Genomic DNA, 11,955 nt, shown 5'->3' with positions numbered 1-11,955 from the left:
TCTACTGGAGGAGTCATCCTATCCACTTGGTTGTTGAGTACTTCCTCTTCAGCGGATACCCATTGGTGGGCATTGGTATGAGATTTTAAAAAGCCACACATATTATATCCACTCCTATAGGTCTAGCCATGTGCTTCTTCCCCAGATGTTTGAATTTTGCTCTAAGGCCCAACCAACCAGACAAGCCATTCATCACTGCTTGAGGGTCCATATGTATTCTTACTCAGGCCACTTCTCCCTTTACAACAAGCTGATGACCAGGTGTACTGTGTGAAGCTCTACATACAGGATTTCCCCTCACCACTGTCTTTTAGGGCCACTCATGAATGGGGGATTGTGACGGTTGATACTGAGTGTCAACTTCATTGGACTGAAGGATGTAAAGTATTGATCCTGGGTGTGTCTGTGAGGGTGTTGCCAAAGGAGATTAACATTTGAGTCAGTGGGCTGGGAAAGGCAGACTCACCCTTAATCTGGGTGGGCACCATTTAATCAGCTGCCAGGACAGCTATAATATAAAGCAGGCAGAAAACATGAAAAGACTAGTCTGGCCTAGCCTCCCAGCCCACATCTTTCTCTTGTGCTGGATGCTTCCTGCCCTCGAACATCAGACTCCAAGTTCTTCAGTTTTAGGACTTGGACTGGCTTTTCTTGCTCCTCAGCTTGCAGATGGCCTATTGTGGGACCTTGTGATCGTGTGAGTTAATACTTAACAAACTCTCATATATATATGTATGTATGTATATATATGTCTCCTGTCTATAGAACCCTGACTAATACAGATTTTGATACCAGGAGTGGTTCTAAAGGAACAGAATATTAAGGATGGAGTTCTTTCATTGGTTTTGGGGTTTCTGGAGTTGGCTGCTTAATATGATTAGTCCCAAAAATGCGGACTCTACTTCTAAATTTTTTTTTTTTTTTTTTTTTGAGATGGCGTCTCACCCTGTTGCGCAGGCTGGAGTGCAGTGGTGCGATCTCGGCTCACTGCAACCTCCGCCTCCCGAGTTCAAGCGATTCTCCTGCCCCAGCCTCCGGAGTAGCTGGGATTACAGGCACGGGCCACCACACCCGGCTAATTTTTAAAATATTTTTAGTAGAAACGGGGTTTCACCATCTTGGTCAGGCTGGTTTTGAACTCCGACCTCGTGATCCGCCCGCCTTGGCCTCCCAAAGTGCTGGGATTACAAGCGTGAGCTACCATGCCCAGCAGGACTCTACTAATAGTATGGAGAACATGATAGTCCTCAGCATGAACTGTTTAGAGAGTTATGCAAAATAAATGCATTTGACACTCCTGATTCACCGCTCATGAAAGGCAAGGACTTTAGTGACTCTATACATAATACCTTTGACCATATGTGGAGAGCCAAGGAACGTAATGAAGCTGGTTGTTTGCTCTTAAGTTCAGTGGACAAAGTGATGAAAGAAAATGATGAACTCAGGGATTCTAACACCCAGTTTCAGAAGCAGATACTGAGCCTCAAATCTGCCAAGATTGCCCTGAGTGAGAGTCTTATCTCCTGTAGAGAAAGAGCTGAAATTGTGGAAAAACAGACATAAGCGCTTATCATGCGAGTGGCTGACCTGCAACAAAAGATGCACGCACAGCCACCTGAGGTGTGTACTGCTAAAGTGAGGGCATTGATTGGAAAAGAATGGGACCCTGCAACTTGGAATGGGGACTTGTGAGAGGACCCTGATGAAGCTGGGGACACTGAATTTGTAAACTCTGCTGAACCTTTTTGGCTAGAAGAAAAGCTTTCCCATCCCCAGTAGTGACAACATCCCCTCCCTGACCCATGCTGCCATCAGCCTTTCTACCTTTGTCTAAGGAGATAAACCCTGTGCTGCCTGAGGCAAAAGTGATGGCCTCTTCTGAGGCAGTTGCCAGACAATGTAATGTTGATTCTCCTCTGGAGCCACCCCCAACACCCCCATTTGCTTCTAGACCTGTAACTAGACTAAAGTACTGGTGGGCCCTTAGAGGTGAGGTTGAGAGTGTGACCCATGAGAAGGTGCACTACACTTGAAAATAACTACTTGAGTTTTCTCATTTGTATAAGTAGAAATCTGGAGAATAGGCATGGGAATGGATATTAAGGGTATGGGATAATGGTGGAAGGAACATAGAGTTGGGTCAGGCTGAATTTATTGCTTCAGGCCCACTAAGTAGGGACTCTGCATTTAATGTTGCAGCTCAGTGAGTTAAAATAAGGTTCTAATAGTTTATTTGCTTGGTTAGCTGAAATACGCATTAAAAGATGGCCCACTGTGAGGGAGCTGGAAATGCCTGATCTCCCTTGGTTTAATATAGAAGAAGGCATCCAAAGGCTTAGGGAGATTGAGATGGTGGAGTGGATTAGTCACTTTAGATCTACTCATCCCAGCTGAGAGGGTCCAGAAGATATACCCTTGATCACTGCCTTGTGAAATAGGTTTGTGAGGGCAGTACCTGCATCTTTGAAGGGTCCTGTAATTGTTCTTCTCTGTATTTCAGATCTAACAGTGGGAACTGCAGTCACTAAACTACAAAATTTAAATACATTGGGAATAATTGGATCCCAAGGTGGCAGGGGCCAAGTGGTGGCACTCAACCATCAAAGGCAAGGTGGGCATAGCTACTGTAATGGGCAGCAGAGGCAAAGCAGCAATCAGAATAGTCTGACTCGTGTAGAGCTCTGGCATTGGGTAATTAATCAAGGTGTTTCTAGAAATGAAATTGATAGGAAGCCCACTGCATTCCTACTTAATTTATATAAGCAGAAAACTTCTAGATCGGATGGACAACAGACTAATTTGAATTATAAACATAGAGAATCACGGCTCCTCAGTCAATTTCCAAACTTGAGCCAGTTTACAGACCTAGAACCTCTTGAATGAAGGGGAGGCTGGGTCCCCTTGAGGAAGGACCCCATTACACTACCGACAACTTATGCTGTTAATATTTCTCCCATCCTTCCCCAAGGAGACCTATGGCCTTTTACCAGGGTAACTGTGCACTGGGGAAAGGGAAATGGTCAGATATTTTGGGGACTACTGGACACTGGTTCTGAGCTGACATTGATTCCAGGGTACCCAAAATGTCACTGTGGTCTTCCAGTTAAAGTAGGGACTTATGGAGGTCAGGTAATTAATAGAGTTTTAGCTCAGGTCTGACCTCGGTCCAGTGGGTCCCTGGACTCGTCCTGTGGTCATTTCCCCAGTGCCAGAATGCATAATTGGCATATACATACTTAGCAGCTGGCAGAACTCCCACATTGGCTCCCTGACTGGTAGGGTGAGGGCTATTATGGTGGGAAAGGCCAAATAGAAGCCCTTAGAGCTGCCTCTATGTAGAAAAATAGTAAATCAAAAATAATATTGCATCCCGGGAGGGATTACAGAGATCAGTGCCACCATCAAGGACTTGAAGATGCAGGGGTGGTGATTCCCACCACATCCCTGTTCAACTCTCCCATTCGGCCTGTGCAGAAGGCAGATGGATCTAGGAGAATGACAGTGGATTATCATAAGTTTAACCAAGTGGTGACTCCAATTGCAGCTGCTGTACCAGTTTTTCTAGTCCTAGATGGAAATAAATTTCATCTGCCTCAGGTTTCTGGTATAAAAGGTGCAATCCCAGTTACCTCACAGGCCTGGGTGAGGAAAATGCCAAGAGCTGTAAAAGGGCTTGGAAAAGTAAAAAAGGTGATGTATAAATGTAATGATTATCATTTTGTGCTCAAGAATAAGCCTTGGAACACAAAATAGGAAAGTAAGTCTACAGCCCTAAAATATATGCATATAAAACTTTAAAATAATGCAGTTCCAACTCTACAGATGGTATCTGGGGATTGTCTACTGCTTTAGAGTCTCAATGCCCCTTTTCTCACGTGGGTGTTGATTTCCAAAAAGGTAGCAGTGTCGTCTCTAATGTGGGTGTTGATTTTCAAAAAGGTAGCAGTATCGTCTCTAACGCAGTGGTTAGTAATGTTAAGTGCAACATGCACGTTAAAGAGTTTTAATTTTTATTGCAAACAAGTAAGGGAAGGAGACTCTAAAGCCCTGGCTGGAGGAAGCTCTGCCGTAGAGTAGTGGTCGCATTTTTGTGTGAACAAAGGGCTAGACAGCTGCCACTCTGAGGCGAGGGCCCTAGGCCAGGAGACGCTGAGTGCCTGGGAGGCTCCCGATGAGGTGGAGGGCCCTGAGTCCACGGAGAGCTGCGAAGAGAGAGAGGACTCATCTGAGTCAGGACTGCACGGCGCGACCCCGCCCAGGCCCCGCCCCTCGGACGGCCTGGTGGCCCCGCCCCGCCCCCTCGTCCCTCCCGGGCGCTCCAAGTTGCCGCCAGAACCCATGGCCGGCGTGGAAACCGCTGCGAGGCGGCGCCACGACGGAGGCTGAGGTCGCCGGCAGTATCCATGGCGTCCCAGAGCGGCAGCTCCCTGGGGCTCCTGGCCTGGTTCTTGCTTCTTCAGCCATGGCTCGAAGAGGCCCGGGCAGGCAGGGTGGGTGCGCAGGGAGGCGTAGCACTGCTCTTCCCCTCCGCGCTCCCCTCAGGGCCAGGCGGCCAGGACCCCGGAGCGAGCGGATGGGAGCCGCCACCTGTAGGGGCTCCAGGATCCCCAGCGGCCCCCCAGTCCAGGGGGAACGCAGTGCGCCCCGCTTCGGTGTTACTTCCCTCAGGTGAGTCTGATTCTTACCAGGCTCTGGCAATCCCACACACACTATCATCAACATGGACCAAAGGGACAGTAGCATTAAACGTCAGGTGACGCTTCTGGGCCATGCCCAGCCGCAGAGAACTGGCCTGGTTTGAGGGGGAGGGGACCTGCCCTAGAGGAGGAGGGGCTCAGGGGACACGATCTGTCCAGGGGCGGGGCGGCTCCCTGAGACCTGGGAGGACACAGCCATTTTCCGAAGAGCCTCAGGGGATGCAGGCCTTGCTTTGAGGGTTCCGAGGCGCATTTGGCTCTGGTGAAGGTGCTGCAGCAGCGTTACTCTTAGTCCCTTCCTTTCATTGACCTGCCCCAGCCTGTGGCCAGCGGACTTCAAGGATAACTGGAGGATTGCCGGCTCCAGACAGGAAGTGGCCCTGGCAGGTGAGCCTGCAGACCAGCAACAGACACATCTGCGGAGGCTCCCTTATCGCCAGACACTGGGTACTCACTGCCGCTCACTGCATCTCTGGGTGAGGGTTTGGGGCTCAGAGCTTGGGCCCTGATCAGGCTGTGGGACCTGGAGCCAGTCTGTCCCCCTCCCTGAACTTCCTCTTCCTCATCTGTAAAAGGGGGTGACAGCCCCATAGTTTTTATCCAGTCTGGGTGAGACCTGAGGATTTGCATTTCTAACAAGTTTCTGGGTGTTGCCTCCGCCGCTGATCTGGGGACTACTGGCTAAAGTGGTCAGGGGTCCTGGAGGGATGTGGCTTGGAGAGAGGGAGGTAGCTGCTGGCTGGCATAGGAAGATGGTACCAGGCGGGAAGCACCTCGAAGGTGTGGAAGCAGAGTGTAGACCCTGGAGGATCTTCCTGCAGCCATCTGGAATACACAGTGAAGCTGGGAGACACAAATGTGCATCATCGCTCCAAAACAGCACTTGTGGTCCCAGTTCGTGACGTCGTTATCCACCGATATTTTACGTCTCCTGGAATAATTGAAAATGACATTGCCCTTGCCCTGCTTGACTTCCCTGTGAATTACTCCACGCACATCCAGCTTGTGTGCCTCCCTGAACAGGCTTTCATGGTGCAAGCTGGTACGAACTGCTGGGTGACCGGATGGGGCAAAGTAAATGAAACAGGTGAGACTATGAAGCAAGACTACAGCAGCCCCAGACCAGGGAAAATGTTGCTCGGTGCCCTGGGGTTGATCTACAAGCTAAAGGGAGGGACAGAGAGGCAGATTTTTTTAGTAAGTCAGGGAGGAGGGTGCAGTAGATGCTGCCTGGGAATAATTTTAACAACTGGTCTATGAAATTCTTTTGGTTTGTCAGGACCTGGGGATTTGGGTGCCAGGCATGGAGGGTTCTCTCTAGGGTGGATTTTACCTCTGGGGGCGATGAGCTAGCTGTCTGCCCTTTTAAGCTGTCCCTCCCTGGAAGTACCTGCCTTGGTAGATAGGAAGCTTCCTGTGTGTGAGAAGAGGCCAGAGACCTTTCAGAGAGGTGTAGGGCCTCCTATCCTTGGGGAGAGGCTGGATTTGGTACCTTTGGGGCATTACCTGTCTGACAGTCTGTGATCCTGCTCTAGAAAGTATAGATGCTTTACTGATGTACAGGATACTGTGTCACTATTAGTACTACTATTCAAAGTGACAGATGCTTGGTTTTGGTTTCTCAGGGTGGTAACGCCTTGCCTTCCCTTTCCTGTCTGTTCTTATTTCCCCTGTTTTGGTTTGGATCTTATGTCCTTATCTCCCCATGTCAACATTGGGCCTCATATCTTCCTTTGTCAAATGGGACAATATCCAATGCCTAAGAGCGTGTCTGTGTGTGAACACATGGTATTGAGACCCAGAGTGGGTATGGGGTTCTCCTGTCCTGTCCCACTTATACACACCCACTCAGTTGTAAATTGTCTCTCTGTAGATTCATCAGAAAAGATAGTAACTGAGCCTCAGGAGGCTGAGCTAAGCATTATTCTTCATGATAAATGTAATGAGGTGCTCAAGGAAAAGATAAGAATGAGGAGTGAAATGGTCAAGAAAGGGACCATCTGTGGCTATAATGACCAAGGGAAGGATGCCTGTCAGGTCAGCTCATGGGCCTCTTGCTGCCTCAGCATTGCAGTTGTCTCCTCAAAGCTTCCTCATCCCCAACCAGTAGGGACTGGGTTATCTCCTAGCCCCTCCGTTTACCCTTATTCATGGTAATGGGACGTGAGGACAAGCCACCAAGGCTCTCCTGGGCAGCCTACCTGATCCTTCAAAAGAGAGCAGCTGACACAGCCTGGAGTGGGAGGAGGGGTGAATCAGGCAGGTCCCACCAACAATACATGCTCCATGTTTTGGGACCCTTCTGTGTGACAGGCAGTGTACTCAGGTTAGCACTTGACTCATTATTGTCTCAGAGTAGGCACAATTTCATTAGGTATATTCCGTTTTTTGGAACACGCCTTTTTAGTAGGTACATGATTTTGGTTTATTGGAAATTGTCAATTCTCAGATCTCATATTGACAGATACCTAAGGCTAGGAGGGTCTTAGGGGTTCCTGGGGAAGCCCCCTTAGTGCTTAGCTCTGTAGCGCATTGCAGTGCAATTAGCCTGCTCTGATGTGGATCCTATTTCTTTCCTACAGTGACTGTCTTTCTTTTTCCAGGGAGATTCTGGGGGGCCCCTGGTCTGTGAATTAAATGGCACATGGGTCCAGGTGGGGATTGTGAGCTGGGGCATTGGCTGCGGTCGCAAAGGATACCCTGGAGTTTACACAGAAGTTAGTTTCTACAAGAAATGGATTATTGATCACCTGAGACAAGCTTCCTGTTTGAATTCAAAGACTTCCTCATCCTAGTCCTGTGTCTGGTGATGCCCCTGGGCATCCTGGTGACCCTGTGATCAGACCCCATTCCACTCTTCTGCTGTTTCTGAGTCTCACACTTAGGTGTCTCCTCTGACCAACTTCCCACTCCTTCTCAATGCCCTTTCCACAAATGCCAGTTGGAATCCACGGGCCCTCTGGAGATCCGTACAATAGAGCATGGCAGGGAGACTGGGGCCTGGAAAGTGCCCCTGCCTGGTGCTCTGGTCACTTGCCTCAGCCATGCCTGCACCAGGGCTGTGCTCTGGCTGGTGGGAAGGAGGGAGTGAACCGATTCCAGCTAGAGGGCCAGCCTCCCTGCCAAGTGGGCCACGGTGACTCATCAATATCTGGAGGAACATCTATCAAAGAAGAGACATCATCAATGGTGAAGGAAGCGTTAGACGTGGTTCTGGTTTCAGGGCTCTCACCTGAGACTTTGTGAAACCAGCCAGCTGGGTGATTGCTCACAGAGAGAGAAGGAGGCGTTACCAGGTCCCTGCAGACGTGTGAGGCCTGGGACTTCCACTCTGGCTCAGTAGTCTGGGGCTGGGAGAAGTTCCCCTGCAGCCCAGTGTGGATCCATCTGTGAGTGGACAGCCTCTGCCACACCAGCTCTCTTGGGGCAACCCATTCTTGCACCTCTTTCCTCAGTGCCCTGGTGGCCACTTTCAGGGACACTACAAATTGTATTGAGTCTGTTATGGGGTGTGGAGTTTTCGGAAATCAACTAAATAAATATTTGGGGAGTCTCCTGTGTTTCTGAAGCTCTGCTCACTGGGGTGTGAGGTTGTATATAACATACTCTGTAAAGAATTGGCTTCCCATTTATTAGGAAGATATTCATGGTTTTTATTAAACTCTGGCAGAGCCAGGGATGAGGAGCTTGTCTGCCTTCATTTAAGTCTGACAGGTGGCTTTACCCAGTGGGTCCTGCTGCCTGTTTTTTTTTTTTTTTCCATCAGCATCTCTGTAGCTGGGAGTGTGGTACTTGAGTTTAACAAACCCTGCATCAGGAGTGGGGCATCAAGAGGGACAGAGACTGGGGTGTAGCACACTCAGACACCTTCCTGCTTCTCCTTGCTGCTCTATAACAAGTGTGCCTTGAGGAGACAAAATGGACTATGGGCTGGTCCTTGAGCCCAGAGAGCTGAGTACCCACAGGGAGGAGGGTGGGAAGGAAGAGCTCATTCTCTCTTTGTATGTGTATGTGTGTGTGTGTTTGTGTGTGCATGCAGGAGAGAGAGAAAGAGGGGAGGGGGAGAGAGAGAGAGAGAAAAAAAAAACCTGCTGCCTGAGGGAGCTGGGGCTCAGTGAGCGAAAACACTCTGCTTTTCAAACTCTACATGGTTACAGCTAAACCCAGCAAGTCCTAGGTCATGACCTACAGAAATGCCCATGAAGAAAAGTTGGATGCCCAAGACTTGCCACATATTTCTGTTACTTGCAGCTTTCTTTCAGAACAGACTGACTGACCCTTTTCCATGTTCCATCTGCGGGGAATGCCAGTATGGCTTCTCATTTCCTTCTTTCTTCTTCCTCATCAGTTCAGCCCCAGTAAAAGCATTCCCCCTTTCCACAGACCACTCCTGTGGACTCTGCTGGGCTGTGTAATGTAATGTGCCTTCTTCTGGGCTCCCTGGACTCTGCAGTCTCTGTGCCTGTTAATTTCTCTGTTTCCACTGGTTGACATTTTGTTCCTCATGGCCATGGGACTCTGTCTAATCTTTCCTTATCTTCCATCCTCCACCTCCAGGTGTGGAACAGAGCAGGAGTTTAGGAACTATTTGGTGAGTGAGTGAGTGATAATAGATAATTAGATGCTCATATATAGATAATTAGGTGCTCATATATCCTCTATTGCCTTACTTTTTTCTCTCTCTGCCCTTTCACCTCATTGCTTTGTCCTCCTTTTGCTTTCCAGGTTGCCTTCGTGAAGGGGGGAAAAAACACAACTGGGTAGGCAAGGGTTACAGCCCCTGCAGTGGGGAAAGTCCCAGGCTCCAGGAAGTTTATGGTTCTGGATGGGGTGCCCTTTGGTCTGCCAATATTAGAGCATGTTTCTTGTTATAGGAGAATAGAAATTCCATTCAAGCATCTTGGCTACTGAGGAATAGCCTCTGGCTACCAGAAAAGATGGGCATGGCCCCCCAGGGAACAAAACATCAAGTGCCAAGTAAACGTTAGTCGATTTTACTCTTTCCAACAAAAATTTTGAATTATCTTTTATGAATGAGGCACTGGCCTTCATCCACAGATAAGATGTAGATGGCAGTTGGGGGATAGAGGTGGTCATTAGGAGGACTCCTAGGTAAGGAGCTTGGTGGCTAGGTAGAACCTGAAAGAGATAGATGACACAGGGAGAGGAGTTGTTGACTGGCAGGCAATCAGTTTTACTAAAAATGCCAGACTTGAACAAAAAGGAAATAAAAACAAACAACAAAATTCCCTATGGGTTTCTAGTCATAAGGGGCAAGTGACATAGGGCGCAATAAGCATTTTTAGTGGTCTTGAAATACCATTTGCCGGCTAGGCACGGTGGCTCATGCCTGTAATCCCAGCACTTTGGGAAGCTGAGGTGGGTGGATCACCTGAGGTCAGGAGTTTGAGACCAACCTGGCCAACATGGTGAAACCCCGTCTCTACTAAAAATACAAAAAAATTAGCCAGGCGTGGTGGAAGGTGCCTGTAATTCCAGCTACTTGGGAGGCTGAGGCATGAGAATCGCTTGAACCTGGGAGGCAGAGGTTGTAGTGAGCCGAGACCGCTCCATTGCACTCCAGCCTGGGCCACAAGAACAAAATTCCATCCCCCCCCAAACAACAACAACAACAACAACAACAACAACAACAACAACAACAACAAGAAATACTGTTTGCCACCAAAAGAAACCAGGGCTTCTTGGAGAAATGGCTTGAAAAATTTACAGGTATGAAACAGGAAATATATAAAATAAGCCTGAAATTTCTTGTCATACCAGATAGCAAGGAAGCTATCATGTCAACAGGACTCAGAACCAATCAGAAGAGGCACCCTGTGTTCTGACATGTGGTGTTCCTGCTAGATCCCATTGCAGAGAAATCACAGCCATCCCTCAGCTTCTGAAGATACTGATTCACAGCTGCACCCCTCACAAAATGGGCACTCAGCCTCAGGGAACTGATTCCCTCAAGATTAAGTCTCTTCACAGGGGTATCCCATAGCAAATAATTGCTATGCAGAGATATAAAGGCCCAGTCTTCTTCCCTCAATTTGGGACAACTTGGAAAGGCCTCTTGTAGGATCAGCTGAGATGTCAGTTGCAACTGCCTTCTGTGAGCAGCTTCTCCTATGAGCACTCCTCAACAAACCGTTGGACAGAATTCTCTCTCAGAGCCTATGTTCAGGGAACCCAATCTAAGTTACCCTGCCTGGCAAAAGATGTCTTTGTGTGTTTCAGGATTCTATTGCTGTGTAACAATCACCCCAAACTCAGTGGCCTAAAACAACACATTGTATTATGGTCAATTCTCATTGTTCAAGCATTCGTACTTGCAAATTCACCTACTTGCTGAAATTTATTTTAACCCCCAAATCAGTACTCAGAGTGATTTTTGGACATGCCCAGGGCATGGAAAAATTTGAGTTTTCTGATGCCTAAGTTCCTAGCTGAGGCTGTACAATGTGCTATTTTGTCTGCTTTCATCTCTCTTACTGTAAACAAGTATCTTTTTTGTCATCTCTTAACTGTCACTTTTAAAAAAACATTTTTGTGCTTGTTGTTGGTGATTTTGCTGTTTAAAAGGGCCCTGGGGCCAGGTGCGGTGGCTCACGCCTGTAATCCCAGCACTTTGAGAAGCCAAGGCGGGCAGATCATAAGGTCAGGAGTTCGAGACCAGCCTGGCCAACATGGTGAAACCCGGTCTCTACTAAAAATACAAAAATTAGCTGGGCATGGTGGCGCATGCCTGTAATCCTAGCTACTCAGGAGGCTGAGGCAGGAGAATTGCTTGAACCTGGGAGGCAGAGGTTACAGTGAGCTGTGATCATGCCACTACACTCCAGCCTGGGTGACGGAGCAAGACTCCATCTCAAAATAAATAAATAAAAGGACCCCAAGAGTACTGCTGAAATGCTGGTTAGTGCTCCTAAGTGCAATAAGGCTGTGATGTGCCTTATGGAGGAAAAATAGGCGTGTTAGATAAGCTTTCCTTAGGCATGCATAGTTCTGTTGCCTGGGAGTTCAACCAGTCGAGTGTGCTAAAGGAGATGTCTTTAAAGGAACATACATAAAACAAGGTTATATGTTGACTGGTTGATGAGTCTATTTTGACTAGAGGCTCACAGGAATCTAACCCTACATTTCCTCTAGGAGCAATGATTCAGTATTCACGCATTCAGTCCTCATGATGACTTTATAAAACATAACTTCTGTGAATAATGAGATTCAATTGTATTCCTCATAATTTTGTAGAATA

The 11,955-nt window shown here is 48.1% G+C and overlaps 1 pseudogene across 1 annotated transcript, besides 2 other annotated features; it reads left to right on the top strand.

Annotated features, from left to right (window-relative positions):
* Nucleotides 4,259-4,338: a silencer, noted in NCBI's record as "silent region_14294". NCBI's record gives its function as "represses an Ori minimal core promoter by ATAC-STARR-seq in GM12878 lymphoblastoid cells {active_cell/tissue: GM12878}" and the evidence as "EXISTENCE:reporter gene assay evidence [ECO:0000049][PMID:35858748]".
* PRSS44P (serine protease 44, pseudogene) lies at nt 4,316-8,250 on the top strand (annotated as a pseudogene). Its single transcript, NR_160551.1, has 3 exons — nt 4,316-4,668; nt 5,017-5,784; nt 7,301-8,250. The product of NR_160551.1 is annotated as a serine protease 44, pseudogene (transcript).
* Nucleotides 4,736-5,360: an enhancer, noted in NCBI's record as "H3K4me1 hESC enhancer chr3:46853020-46853644 (GRCh37/hg19 assembly coordinates)". NCBI's record gives its function as "activates a minimal SCP1, AML or CMV promoter by ChIP-STARR-seq in naive H9 embryonic stem cells {active_cell/tissue: H9 hESC(naive)}" and the evidence as "EXISTENCE:reporter gene assay evidence [ECO:0000049][PMID:30033119]".
* Nucleotides 8,251-11,955: the final 3,705 nt, after the last annotated feature.

This window comes from Homo sapiens, chromosome 3, assembly GCF_000001405.40.
Source record: "Homo sapiens chromosome 3, GRCh38.p14 Primary Assembly".
Taxonomy (NCBI): Eukaryota; Metazoa; Chordata; class Mammalia; order Primates; family Hominidae; genus Homo; species Homo sapiens.
The sequence above is the reverse complement of the archived record's forward strand: the minus strand, read 5'-3'. Positions and strand labels throughout refer to the sequence as shown.